The sequence below is a fragment of the Homo sapiens genome, chromosome 1, assembly GCF_000001405.40.
Source record: "Homo sapiens chromosome 1, GRCh38.p14 Primary Assembly".
NCBI classification, from domain to species: Eukaryota; Metazoa; Chordata; class Mammalia; order Primates; family Hominidae; genus Homo; species Homo sapiens.
The window spans coordinates 166119202-166133762 of record NC_000001.11 but is presented as its reverse complement, the minus strand read 5'-3'; the positions used below and the strand labels follow the sequence as shown (position 1 = coordinate 166133762).

Below are 14561 nucleotides of genomic sequence, written 5' to 3'. Positions count from 1 at the left end.
ATTGAAGCAGACGGCCTGAGAAAGGCCGTAGCCTGAAGCCCACAGGTGTGCAAAGACCTGCTCTAATTAATTAGGCATAAGATTAGCACTGGAATACATTTCTAACCACCAAAAATCAGATTCACTATTTCACATTATATTTACGGTTCTTTTTTTTTTTTAAGATTGCTCAACTTTACAGATTAATATTATTTAAAAGTTGCAAATATTTTAATAAATCATTGAAATTAACAGTTACACATTTGTGGGATTTGCAGAAAGATCCCCACATGAAGCAAAGACATCTTGTGTTTTGTTTCATATCGCTGTCACCTGCTGGCAGAATATGCAAATTGCAGGTTTGGTTTTGTCTAAGAAATTCTACCTCTAACATACATCTGTCTTTAGGAAAATGTAACTCTAAACCTAAAGTTACACAATAACAGGTATCCTCTCTTCTCCTGAGAATTCCCATAACCAGCTCTTGAGGAAGACCAGAGTGGACCTTGTGAGGAGTTTCCGGTACTACCATGAAGCTGCTAGGTCAGGATATGCAGCTGTGCACAGCTCAGCCCTTATTCTTCCTCCAGGAAGCCAGTAGAAAAACACTGGGGTCTAACCTCTAGCAGAAATAATGTGCTCAAAGAGAAAAGCAGGGCCACTCTGCTATTCTCAGAGTCAGCAATCTCCTTGCCCTGCCAAGATCCTACCAGTTTAATGAACAACTCATACCTTTCCTCGTTGTTGAAAGCTCCAATTCCTCAACAAAGTCTCAGTGCTGCTGATAACCTTAGATCAGCCCCAGAGATTGTTCTCATATCCCAGAGGGCATAAATATGGCAGTTACACCCCTACAAACTGCCCTTATCATTTTAATCATGGTTCATCTTGAGAAACCAGCAGATACTATGAAGCAGTTTTGTCACACTCATAAGCTGGTACTGTAACTCAAGTCACTGTTTATCTAACAATATGGGGCATAAAATAACAAAGTTGGCCTTTCTGGTACACTTAGCTGATGTAGTATTATCTTTGTAGTGGTTTCCTCACAGAAAACAACTAGAAGCAAGTGGCTTTTGAACTTGGTGACTTCATCCTAACATGAAAATTTTTGTCTAATTAGGTGGAATGATTTGGCAAAAGAGAGCAATACTTAGGTGGAGATTCATTCATTGGGAGGATGGAGGGAATCTCCCACTGCTGTACAAGAAGGGAGATGGCATATGGTAAAGCCCTTTGTCATAATGGTTGACATTCACAAGCCACTTACTTTGCACACACCTGGGTTTTTTTGCACTTCACAAACATCTCACTTAATCCTCAACAATTACCCAATAAAGGTAAGCAGTAATATTATCCCCATTTTGCAGATAAGGAAACTGCAAAATAAAAATTACATGACTTTCCCAGGATCACACCGTTAAATCGCAAGCTAGATTTTGCTAGTCAAGTCCAGTGTGTCATGTTCTTCACACCGCGAGGGTTAGGGGAGAGGGGAGATTTGGAACCACTCTTCTGGGTAGCAAAGAGAGGACAGAAAAACCAAAACATATCCTTTCAGCTATTATGTGAACTGCTTAATTCTGGTGTTACACAATAGTAATGATAGGACATCACTAAACATGTCATATTTACTTTATTTTATGATGACAGCTAATATGTTTCCAGTCTTCATAGCCTGTTGCTCTTACTGTAGAGGTATCTGCTGACAAGTTTTTAAAATTGGAGAAAATTGTGCTTAGGCCTTGCCTTTTATATGGCCTTCCTGACATTCAGCCTCAGATTGCAGCAGAAGTCTCTCTCAACTGAAGTCAACAGCTTTCATCAGAGGGAGAGCAATGCATGTACACCACTGTCACTGCAATTTAAGACCTGGGTCTTCTGCCCCCAGCTGACTATTTTCTGCCATGTGAGGGCAGGATTTTTTCAGGTTCCATCTCCCACCCCTAGACAGCCCTGCCGCTGGGGTCTTCAGTTCAGGACCTCCAACTAGTGCATAGCCACGTAACCTTACTTTTTTTCATAAAACATAGTAAAAATATGTTTACTATTTTCTTCTAAGGGACACTCAGTGTCCTGAACCCCAATGACATGGAACTTTGTGCCCTTTTAGATAGTTCTCCCCAGTCTTCTTCATATTGAGCCCAAATCAGTCAAATTTTATTCTTCATGCAGCCCAGTTCTACCCAGCAGAGCCCCCTAAGATAGGTCTTCTCACAGACACACGTACCAGGAAAACTAACGTTGCTGTTGCTTGGTCTCAGTAAAGTCACTGTCTGTTGGAGGGTTCAGCTGCCCACTACTGTGAGGTAGTTTGCTCTCCTTTAACCCCCTCTGTAACGTGGAACAGTGGAGTTGCTTTAACTCTGGAGCAGTTTTGCCTGGTGTACTGGGATGGGCCTTAGCTGCCTGCTGGGCTTCTGACATTGCCTCTCACTGTCTTACATAATTTGGAGACACTATTAAAAAGCACCTAGGGGGCTGGGCACTGTGGCTCACTCTTGTGGCTCACTCCTGTAATCCCAGTGCTTTGGGAGGCTGAGGCGGGCAGATCACTTGGGGTCAGGAGTTCCAGACCAGCCTGGCCAACATGGCGAAACCCCATCTCTACTAAAAATACAAAAATTAGCCGGGTGTGGTGGCACGCATCTGTAGTCCCAGCTACTCAGGAGGCTGAGGCAGGAGAATTGCTTAAACCTGGGAAGTGGAGGTTGCAGTGAGCCAAGATTGCACCACTGCACTCTAGCCTGGGCAACATGTTGAACAAGACTCTTGTATCAAAAAAAAAAAAAAAAAAAAAAAGCACCTGGGGAGATGCAGATACACCAAGTTATTCTACCTCCTGGGCCCGCAGCCTTGTGACATCGGCCAAGCTTAGTAATGACAGCATTCTTTGTTGGTTCTGTTTCTTCTGAGTTCTGCCACAGTGTCTGGCTGTGCAGATGTACACACAATGCAGGAGAAAGAGCACAGGTCTGGGAGTCAGGGAACCGGGGCTTAGGCCTGTATCTCCCACTTAAATAGTTGTTCTATCTTGGGCAATCCACCTCACTTGTTTGTCAGTTTTTTCAACTTGATTAATAATACTTATTTTAATTAATAAGTATTCAGGGTTTCTCAATAGCAGTACTATTGACATTTTGGCCTGGTTAGTTCTTTGTTGGAGTGGCAGCAGAGGGCTGTCCTCTGTATTGTAGGATGTTAGCAGCATACCTAGCCTCTACCCACTAAATGCCAGTAGTACCTTCCAGCTGTGACAACCAAAAGTGTTCCCAGACATAGCCAGGTGTCCTCTGAAGGGCAGAATTGTCCCCAGTTGAGAACCACTGCATTAACTCATAGGATTAGCAGGATACATTAAATAACTGTGTGAAAATATAAGACATCATGGTTGTCTTCCTCCTTCTCTGGCATTCCAGTCTTCTCTGATTGTCTATACTTACGTAGAAGCAGAAAGAAGAAACAGCATATTCTATCCACATCCCTATGTGGTCCAGCAAGTGACTTGTTACGTCCATGCTTTCACATCATGCGATTCAGGTAAGTTTGTCCTTTTCTAATGGGCTTGATATTTACTGTGTGTGAAGAGCCACAGAGGTGAGTAGCAGTGCCTGTTTTCATGGATGACACATTCTCATGGGAGGAATATTTAAGCACAGAAATGACTAAGACCAGAAAGGCATGCTCAGGTGTCAGAGAGGAAGCACTTCACAGAGGAGGTGATGTTTGGGTTTCAGTAGACAGAGATAGGCTGGTATAGCCTGAAGGGGCTTGAATCAGAGGGAGCAGTGACCCAGGGTAGAAAGCACATAGGATTAGATGAGAAGGTAGCAAGAGATAAGACCTTGTGATCAGTCTACGGAGGCTTGGAATGCCAAATGTGTTCATTGTCCCTAATTTAGCAGTGACATGGCATGGCCATAGCTGTGTTGAAGAGGGTCATGTGGCAATGGATTAGAGTAAGGAGAGGCCAGCACAAGGTGGCTTGGGGACCTGAATAGAGTGATTGTGGTAGGAGAAGGGAGGATGAGGTTAATGGAAGAGAAAGTGCAGGAGAAGAAGCAGCAGGGTCTGTGAAGGTGAAGAAAGGGAAGAGGACGAGAGGACTACAATTTTGACTCTGGAGCTCAGAGAAAAGGGTTTCCCAGAATAGAACAGGAGAAGACAAGAGGAGGAACCAGGAATCAGGAAGTTCGAGCACTGGAGAAGGGCCAAGGTAAAACATTAAAATTGAGGGTTTCCTAAATTCATCCACATCCATGCCTGAAAAGGTCTCACACACTTCCTGGGAGAAAAGGCACATGAGTGTTTGCTTGATGCTTTGTTCATTGCAGAGATGGGCTTCTTGAATCCATTTATCGTTTAAGGACTATTTATATGGCCCTCAACAAATAACAGTAAGAAAAAAAGAAAAGAAAAGCAACTCAGCCTGGGGCTTTGGTTCCTGTGCAAAGCACTTTTTATAAGCAGAAAGAATCAGACTTTGGATTTAACTAAGTTAACAGCAGGAGCAGAATTGCATGCGGAGCACATGCCATATGCTGCTTTTTCCTAATATTCTAACAATACACTGGGATGCTCTAAATCTATATACACAGGAGTGCGCCCACAGCAGGGGCTCTGGGCACTGAATTGGCACAGCTGGGCCTTCTGCCACTGCTCACACACCCAGACAGAGAAGCATAGCCTGGACTCTTGAGGATGTGAGCAGGATCCCCACATTTATGTTCTCAGGGACAACTCAATCACATTCGCATCTTGGCCCCCCAGCAGGTGACCCAACTTTGGTCTGTTTTTCCTCCCATGAACCTTGCTTCACCTCCTCCCATGCTTTCTATTATTTCATTCCAGCACTCTATACAATTAAGATATTGAGATCCTTAAATGCATCTAAGAAGGGACAATCAAAGTAATGGCTCCCAGGACACTCATCTATCTTCTACCCTGCATACATATTTAGTCATTAATATTTATCTACTAACCAGCCAAAGAGATGCTCCATGTGTCAGTGGGTCTGCCATAGGGAACCAAGTCATACTGCCTCACCCACTGTCTCTCACAGACTCAATGCCATGTTCTCTCCCAGTGGGAAAGTGGAAAGAGATGCCCGAAGACCAAACCTCCCTTGGCTTCAGCTTGTGAATGTTAGCAGTGGTATCCAGCTGTGAAACCTTCTCTCCTCTATTTTCTGACTTACAACCAAAGAACAGTGATTTACATGGGGATAGCCTTTCACAATTAGGCATTTTCACCAACATTAGCGCATTCAGTTGTCACAGTGAAAACTAATTCAGGTGTTAACTGCCTACTTTATAAGGGACAGAGTGCAGAGAGGGAGGGATGTGATTCAGTGCCAGTGCAAGGACCAGACCCCAGGTGTCTGACTGCCAGCCCAGGCTCTGTCCACCTGCTGACTTCTGCCATGGCCCTTTGCATCTCTTCTTTCTCTTGCTGCAGGCTTCCTCCAGTCCATTGAGTGCTCATTATGGCCTTTGTGGAGTGAGGAATAAATAAAGGAGGAATGAAATAAATGTATAAAATTAATGAGGAAAGTATAAAATGAATGAATAAATAAAAGAGGAATAAAAGGAGATGAACTGCAAAGAAGAAAAGTTTAGCTCCTATAGGTAATAGGGTGTCAGAATTACTTTTGTTGGCTTAGCTCTCCTATTTCTCAGTTTCCACATTTCCTTCACTTCCTATGTTTTAGGCTTTTATTTACTATAAGTTTTCCAGTGCTCCTACAATAAAGCTTATACTACTGAGGCCAATTTCATAGGTGGTTTTTATCAACTAGCAAAATATCTTGTCTGACATGGTGGCTCTATGTTTTATATCTGCTACTTCTAAAATAATCGTCAGTGTGTGCCAAGTAATTATGTGTGGATCCATTTGCCACCCGATGGACCAGGGCTATTGCAGGTGAGGTGTGATCTTGGTACCATCCTTAGCCTTTGGGTTAACCTCAGCAGTGGTCTGTGTGCTCTTTGACCTTGGTGTGTTTGTTTCACTGCATCCACCCCCTCCGCCTGCTACAGACACACAGTAGCAGTCAGACACATTTTTGAACTAAATTTGTCTTTCTCTTTTCATCACCAACTTTTCCTTTACCAACATCTGTTCAAACTGGCAATACATTTTTGGTAGCAACAAATTCAATTTCTACTAGTACTATTATCAATAACAGCTATTTATTGAGCACCTAATATGTGCCTAACACTTTAAACAGAGCTGTGAGCACATACAGTAGGCCCCAGTTGGTAGAAAAGGGACTGCAGAGTCTCAAGGTTAGAGACTCCTCAAGCACCAGATCCTGAGTCCCCTGGAAGGAAGTTGGACTCTCCATGTAATAGAGACAAAAAGGGAGGTGGTCTTCCACAGTCGTAGGTAAACCCTTCTGCTCAAAGTCTGGAGAAAGACTTAATTCCAAGCTCCCTCCTGGACTGGTGGTGATTGGGGTGGAGGCAGCCAATATATATGCAGTCTCTGTCTAGGGCAGAATTGAACTTGGAGATGGATTGTCAGTGATTGCAGCTGCCAAAAGCTGGGGAAGTGGTAGGAAATGAAAGAGGAACTGCAAGCACTTTTCAAAGCCCTTGGACATGCATACATTTCAATCTTCACAACCCTGTAAAGCAGGAGTGATTTTCTCCATTGTTCAGGTGAGGATACTGACATTCAGAAAGTTTAACATTATATGTCACCCAGTAAGAGAGAGAAAGACCCAGCCTTCAGCCTCAAAATCTTTTATTCCTTCTACCATAACAGAATCAGGTGAGATCTCTTGGATTCCTTCCAGATCACAAATATCTGAGTCTTAGGTCCTACTGTGCCTAAGTTGGTTGACAGGGGAAGATACCATGAAACATCTTGGTTTCCATGTGTTAGCGTTAGGATGCACACATAAGCTCTGAACTGAGACCACCTGGGTGCATTCCCAGCTCCAATACTTGGTTATGTCACCTTGGACAAGATATGTAATATTCCTTTGCCTCAGTTTCCTCATCTATAAAATGGGACTAATATTGGTACTCAATATTGTAGCCTACATAATGCAATAATTATCATGTATTATTGTGTATATTACACCCCATATGATGTGGCCCCTCATTGTCTGTCATCCTCATCTTCTCCATCATCACTCCTTCCCAGCCTCACGTGCCCTCTTACCACTCCCTGAGCACCCCAGCATGCTCTCACTTTTAGACCTTTGCCCAGAATGCCCCTCCCCCAGATGGCCAACTCCCTCACCTCCATCAAATTTTTGCTCAGTTATCGTCTTCTCAGTGAGGCCTACCTGGACCATTCCCTGGCACTCCCAGTCTCTTTTACCTGCTCTACTATTTCATCCATACTATTTCTCCCTAACCTACTACATGGTTTACCTTGTAGTTTACTACTCATTTATTGTGTTTATTGCTTGTCCATATACAAGTCAGAGATCTTTGTTTTATTCACTGCTGTTTCCCAAGTGTCCAATATAGATCCTGGCATCTACAGGTACTTAATCATAACTGTCAAAAGGATTAACACAGACTTGTGAAGATTAAATTAGGACAGTCAGCCCTCTGTATCCATTGGTTCTGCATCCAAGGAGTCAGCCAACCATGGATTGAATATATTCAGAAAATAAAAAAATTGAAAGTAATAGGCCGGGCACAGTGGCTCACACCTGTAATCCCAGCACTTTGGGAGGCTGAGGTGGGCAGATCACCAGGCCAAGAGATTGAAACCATCCTGGCCAACCAACATGGTGAAACCCTGTCTCTACTAAAAATACAAAAATTAGCTGGGCATGGTAGTACATGCCTGTAGTCCCAGCTACTTGGGAGGATGAGGCAGGAGAATCGCTTGAACCTGGGAGGTGGAGGTTGCAGTGAGCTGAGATCGCGCCACTGCACTCCAGCCTGGCGACAGAGCAAGACGCAGTCTCAAAAAAAAAAAAAAAAAATTCAAAGTAGCAATACAATAATAACAGAAATTCAAAATGCAATATAATGTTGCAATTATTTACATAGCGTTTACATCGTATTCAGTGTTATAGGTAATGTAGAGATGATTGAGAGTATACAGGAGGATGTGCGTAGGTTATATGCAGATACTGTGCCATTTTATATATGGGATTTGTGCATCTGCAGATTTGGGTATTTGGTATTTGAATTGGTCATAAAACCAATCCACCACAGACAGAGAGGAACAATTGTATTTGTTAATAGTTTAGCTCAATGCCTGACCCATAGGAAGGACTCAATAAAAGGCTTCTCTCATCATATCTGACTTTGACATTGATAAATTTGCTGTCAGGTTGTAGTTAAGTTTCAGGTCCCACTGGCAGGGAAGATGGACCGTGTTTAATGACTGGCCATAATGATTGCAGTCCCTCCCTCTTACCACTAGCTTTCCCAGTGGAGACAAATAGGCTCTCATACTGAGCTCCGAGGCCCATTGAGGCAGGTTATTAGACTCAGCCTCAATATGCAACTGGAGAAACCGAGTCAGGGGGCATCCAATGGCTTATTTAAGGAAAGACAGTGAGTCAGAGACCTGCCTGGCGCTTGGTCCCACAACCATAGGAAAAAGAAGCTAAACTGAGGGATTAGCTCAATTTAGTTAATGGGTGAAAATCAGCTCTGAATGAAAACCACTCCAGAACCTGCATACCCCAACATAGGCCTTATCAAGTTATGCATGGAAAAGTACTGCAATTGTGAGAGCTCAGTGCTGGCAGGTCTCAGTTGACCATAGGAGAAGCCAAATTTGCTTAAAGAATAGGAAACAAGTTGGAGAGAGAAAGTATAGCTGAGTTGGGAAGAGACATTTCTCAGAGGTGACCTGGTGGGTGTAGGGTACTGACCAGCTTGCTGGGTGTCTGTGTCCCTTCTCCCACACCAGGTCTGCCAGGATGCAGCCAACCTGGGACTGACTCCAGTGACTCCATTCCTTCCACAGCCCTCTATGATCCCGCTTCCAAGGGCCCAAGTGGCCTTTTCTACTTCTCTCTTCCTCCTGCTGCTGCCCAACAGAGGAGGTTCCGTTCAGTTCTGTCAGACAGTATTTCATGAAGGACTCAGCCAATACCAGCAGTGCAAGGATGGCTGTCACAGTATCTGCCCTGGAGGGCTCACAGCCTAGCCAGGTAGACTGAAGCCTGTTAAATTATTTCTAAAGCAGAACTCAGAGCTACACTTCCTGGGTTTGAACTTGGCTCTGCTACTTATAACTCTGTGATCTCAGGCAAGTGATATAAATTATCTGTGCCTCAGTTTCCTTGCTTCAATAAAGCAAGCTCCACTTGCTATTAGTAGTACCCACCTCATAGGGTTGTTATGGGAGCAAGTGAATTAAAATATACCAAATGCCTAGAACAGTGCCTGGCATATAGTAAGTGCTACGTGTGTTTGTTTTTGTTGTTATCATCATTGTTTAGTGTTATTCTATAGTAACTACAATAAAGACACACAGGTGTGCTGAGAGCCCAAAAAGAAGCAATCTAGTCTAAGAGCTCTGGGAAGGATTCTGGGGAGAAGCAACTGTGAATTGAATGTGGAAGGATGACTGCATTACCCAACCAAAGAAGGTGCAAAAGATGTTCCAGGAAAAGGGTGTTGAAACCCATGAGCCAGACATAGAAGCATAAAGCAGACTGGTGTGTGCTGGAAACTACAAGGAGATTGGTTTTGCTATGGTGGCAGCCTCGGGGTGGGGCATAGTGAGTGATGAGGCCAAAGCAGGGTCAGATCATGAGGGGCTTTTGTCCTCATCAGTTCAGCACCTTCTCCTGGCTTCTGCAGCCCAGATCCCACTCCTCTTCCCACTTTGGACTAGGCCTGGGCCTGGGACCTGGGTACCAATCACATTCCCCATTCTACTGGCCGCAATAATTATCAAGCGATGGGCATGCGACCCAAGCTGGCCGATCATAATGTTTGCCCAGGATTTTTGCTGGAGCTGGGGTGGAAGAATTCAGCTTGCCCCTCATGGCGTGTTGCTGGAGGAGTGTGGTTGTGGGTCTCTAAACACCTCTTCCTCACCCCATGGAGAAGGCCCCTGTCCTGACCCCTGAGATCCCAGGAACTGCCCAGTTCTTATGGTTCTTTTCTGCTAGGAACTTTCCCAGTATCCTACCAATAAATCCTTTCATTGTTTATTAATCTGAGCTTCTTCAAGTTGGTTTCTGATATTTGCAAATGAAAAAGTCCTGACTAGTAGACTAAGGAGCTTGGATTTCATCCTCAGAAGCCATTGAAGAATATTAAATTGGGGTCGTTGTGTGTTTTAGAGATGTCACTCTGACAGCACTGTGGAGGATAAATTAGGTTGGAGACGAGGATACCAGTGAAGGGCTGTCATCTTTGTCCAGGAGAGAAGTGGCAAGGGCCTGACCTGAGGTCATTGAAGTAGGAATGGAGAAGAGGGGTTGACCTGAGAAACACCGTTATGGGAGCGGCAAGGTGGCCAAGAGCCGACAGAGCCAGAGACTGAGTCAGCTGTGTCTTCATCTATGAAGCCCAGCCTGGGGCCTTCTGAACCAGCTACAGGTGGTCCAGGGTGGGGGAGGCCTGGCCTGGCTTTGAAAAGTCAAGGCCCAGAAGGAGGCAGCTGCCAGAGGCAGCCAGAGACATCTGTTCTCCACTTGCAACCAAAGCCTTTCTGCCACATCACACTGTTACCTGTCCGTGCTGGGATCTACCCCCTGCTGCTCTGCTGTCCCTGCCACTGAGGAATTTCTTTTAAATGTATTTATCTAGTTTCCTGCCTTTCTTAGAGTAGCCCCTGATTGAAATCAGGCTCTGCCCTCTGCTGTGTTTATACCTTCGTCCTGGAGCTCTCAGCCGGACCACGTTTCCCTCATATAAAAGAGGGGCCTCAGATAGCTGTGAATAATCCACTCTATGGGATCCTAAAGATAACCTGAAAACAGAGGCTTCCAGGAGGGAGGAGGAGAAGGTGGAAATGGCCAAAGAAGGGGGAAAAATAACATTTTTAAAGCATATTTTATATACCAGAACATTTACATGTTATTTCATTGAATTCTCGCAATAATCCTGTTAGATATTTTCCATCCCCATTTGGCAGCTAAGAAGCCAAGGTTCAGAGAGATCAAATAACATATAGAACGACACACAGATGCTAAGAGAGAGAATGAGGATTTGAACCCAGATTCAGGGTGATTCACACAATGCCCTTTCCACATTTGGAAAGATTTCTTTAAGCATTTGTGAGTAGGTTGTAGCAAATCTCTATTCTGAGGCCTGTTAATATCTGAGATATGAGTTGGCTTATATAATGTTGGATAATAAGCTTTATAAACATGTATAAATATCAAACTGATGGTGTTTCCTTGGCATTTGATTAGTTACCCAATTTAGATAGAGGTGGCTTAAGCTTTCAAGAGAACTGAGATCTCTTTTCTTTGGCTTGTACTTTCTCCCAATTCAAGGGCAGCTATCATCACTGGCTGTTAGAAACCCTACTCATCTGGGGTGTTTTCCATCTCTCCTGCTTTCAGGCTGATCTGTGCCCTGGGCAGAGCAGCCTTCTCCTGATTATCAGCTGTGGCATCAAACCACCGATGCCCTCAGACTATGCTTATCTCCTCCCCTAGGGATGATTTCATTCCTTATCCTGGCTAAGGCAAGGAAAAAAAGCCATCTCCTGACTCACTTCCAACTTTCCAAAATGGTGCTTCAGCAAACCTACTGGACAGATCTGGGAATTAATCTGTGATTCCGAAAAGCAGTCAGAGGTGTGGTGATGTGATGAAGAGTTGTCCCAAATGTTCATGAATATAGGCCATGAGTACACAATGGGTGCTCCGTAGTGCCTGGTTGGGAGTTGCCTTCAGGGCTGAGCTGTGGGAGGCTGCCCTGTAAGCCAGTATGTGCCTCAAAGGTGGGCCCTGCTGTGTGTACAGGGGATATGATGTAGTCAGTAGGAGTGAGGACCTGCAGCCAGATGACCTGGCTCCATCACTTACGACTTTGGGCAAGTTGCTTACCTGCTCTCTGTCTCAGGTTCCTCATCTATAGAATGACGGTAGTAATAGTACCTACCTCATAGAGTTGTTAGGAGGATTAAACAAGTTAGCACATGTAAAATGCTTGGGACAGCTAAACCTTGGCACATGGTGCTAATTATTAGAGGCATTATTGGTACATGGGGCTATCAAAGGTCATTACCACTCAGAGCCCCTTGCCCTGGGACCCATGCTTTAGAGGGCCCTGCTCTGGCCCTTTCTTAAGTCCCTTTCCACAGGGTATGGAGCTCTGAAGGGCCAAGAACACAGACCCATACCCTTCCTTCTAGACCATTCTTCAGTGGCAGCCAGGACCTTGGAATTCCCTGCTTAGACAGTATAGAGCTCCCAGAACCTGTGTGGACACTTTCCCTGGGTCTGCTTCCTCAGGGTGGGCTCCACTACCCTGTGAACCCTCAGGGGTCCAAGAGTGACCGAGGTGAGGGTGTAGACAGAGCCTGGTCCTGAGGACCTCAGTATCCCACCACAGCTACACACCTGTGGTGGGATGCTGAAGTCCCCAGGACCATATGCATGTGGCCCCTTGTGGACCTTGATGGTGTCCACACCGATGTGTGTTCCATCCCTTGCCACCATAGTGCAACATGTCTTTGATTTAGCATTTGTAGGCTTGATTTGTAACTTTTAAATATTTAGTCATATGATAAGCGGGCTTTTAAAAAAAATTGCCCGAGGCTCTACAAATTTAAAGAGTGCACCTGGTGACAATAATCTTGCTAGTAAAGAATGAGATCAAGAAAGGTCACTCTGAGTTGAAGCTCTGGTGACAACATCCAGAAGTGATAGTGTTACTGTATTGACTTATGTTCACACTTCTCCACTTTGGCCAAGTGGATGAAGGGGAGAGTGTTGGAAACTTAGCTGTAAAGAACAAGACAAATGGTGTTGGCGGATATGGCCAGGGTTCTGGAGTCTCCTGCCTAGCGCATTTATCCATTGCCCCTGGTTAACTGTGAGTTCACCGTGGATGTCCTCTGCTCACCACGTGCTCCTGCTCTTGGGGACAGCCCTTAGCTCCTCCTGTTTTCATCCACCCACCTCACTTCAGATTCTGCTGGAAGCTTGTGTTTTTGCTATATTCAGCCTCCCTTGCAGTCGTCCGCAGGGACCCCTCTTTAGGACCCCTGTTATCCAAATGAGCACTGTTGTCTGTACATCTTCTATTTCCACACAAATTGGGTTTGTTCTTCTCTCATTTCACTCTTCTGCCTTTGCTCTCCAAATGATCTTCAGCTCACCATGCTCTCGTTTCAACATGATATACAGCACACTGAATGCACCTGAGCCTCGACCCATGTTCCCGCAGTTGCTGGGCACCCTGCTAAGTAGGCGTGGCACGGTCAGCCCGCAACTGTGATGAAAGAAAGCCTCCAGGCTTTGGATATGGTGCAGTGTGATGGAAAGCACACAGGCACACATGTGAGTTTGAATGCCTGGCTCCACCACTAACTTGCTGTGTGCCTTTGGACCAGTTACTTAACTTCTCTTGAGTTGAGGGTACTATGTGTATAAAATGAGGAAAATAATGCTGACCTTATGGCTGTGTGAGGATTTAAAGAAATGGCATATGTAAAGCCCCCAGCACAGCACCTGGCACAGATAGATTCTCAATAAATGTAAAGACAAGGACTTTATTTATCTTTGATTCTCGGCAGCCCACCCAATGCCTCACATAATCCTTGCTGGTTTTCACCTTTCAGCTGTGAGGAGCTGACTTTATGGGAGGGAGTGGGCTGAATTCAGAGGCACAAGGAACAGTAGATCCACAGGCTGAGCCCCAAACAGAGCTGCCTCTCTTGGCGCATCTTCTCTTTCATGCTTAGCTTCCCTCTTGTGGCTGGAAATGTCACCCTTGAAATTCAGGCGTGTGTCTGAGCTGGGCAGAAGCTCTGTGGGCCTGGAGAACCATGCACATGTTCAGTGTATTGCCTTGGCAAGGCTTCAGGGAGTCTCGTGTGGCCACTTACGACACGCGTCCTTTATTCTTTTGACCACTTATGTTAGAACTGCTGATGCGCTTTAATCTCTTGGATGAATATTCATTCCTGTCTGTCCAAGAGAGATGTGTAATAGAAGTGGAAATGCAGAAACTGTAAAGGCTTGTAAATGGCAAAGAGGAGGAAAACAGCTCTCTTAGGGAGGCAGCTGGAAGAAGGGTTAAAGTGGGGTCGGCTTTCAACTGATACTCTCCTGGACAAATGTAGAGCATGCTAATGGGCTGATTGATTCTTGTCGCTCTGGGAAATCTCCCACACAGAAAGCGGAGGCCCGATGTGGGCCTCAGATTGGCTGTTTGTTCTTTAAATGTGATTGTGGGTAGATAGGGCTTGTTTTTTACCATGTGCGTCGTCTCCTTTGGAATCACTCATGTCAAAGAAAGGTAAATATCAGGTACTCATATGTTTTGGTGTTTGTAGCAGATGCCACTGAAGGAATTGAAGACAACTGGGTGTGTTAAAATCATTTTAGTCCAACAGGGCTGCTTGGAGTAATTTCCCTGGAAACCTGTGAAAAGGGTTTTCAAGTTGAACTCGAGACAGTTGTA

The 14561-nt window shown here is 44.9% G+C and overlaps 1 protein-coding gene across 4 annotated transcripts in view, besides 1 other annotated feature; it reads left to right on the top strand.

Moving 5' to 3' along the window:
* FAM78B (family with sequence similarity 78 member B) overlaps positions 1 to 14561 on the top strand; it is a 111084-nt gene that overhangs the window by 33239 nt on the left and 63284 nt on the right. The window lies entirely within an intron of this gene.
* Positions 4858 to 5359: an enhancer, noted in NCBI's record as "OCT4-NANOG hESC enhancer chr1:166097641-166098142 (GRCh37/hg19 assembly coordinates)". NCBI's record gives its function as "activates a minimal SCP1, AML or CMV promoter by ChIP-STARR-seq in naive H9 embryonic stem cells {active_cell/tissue: H9 hESC(naive)}" and the evidence as "EXISTENCE:reporter gene assay evidence [ECO:0000049][PMID:30033119]".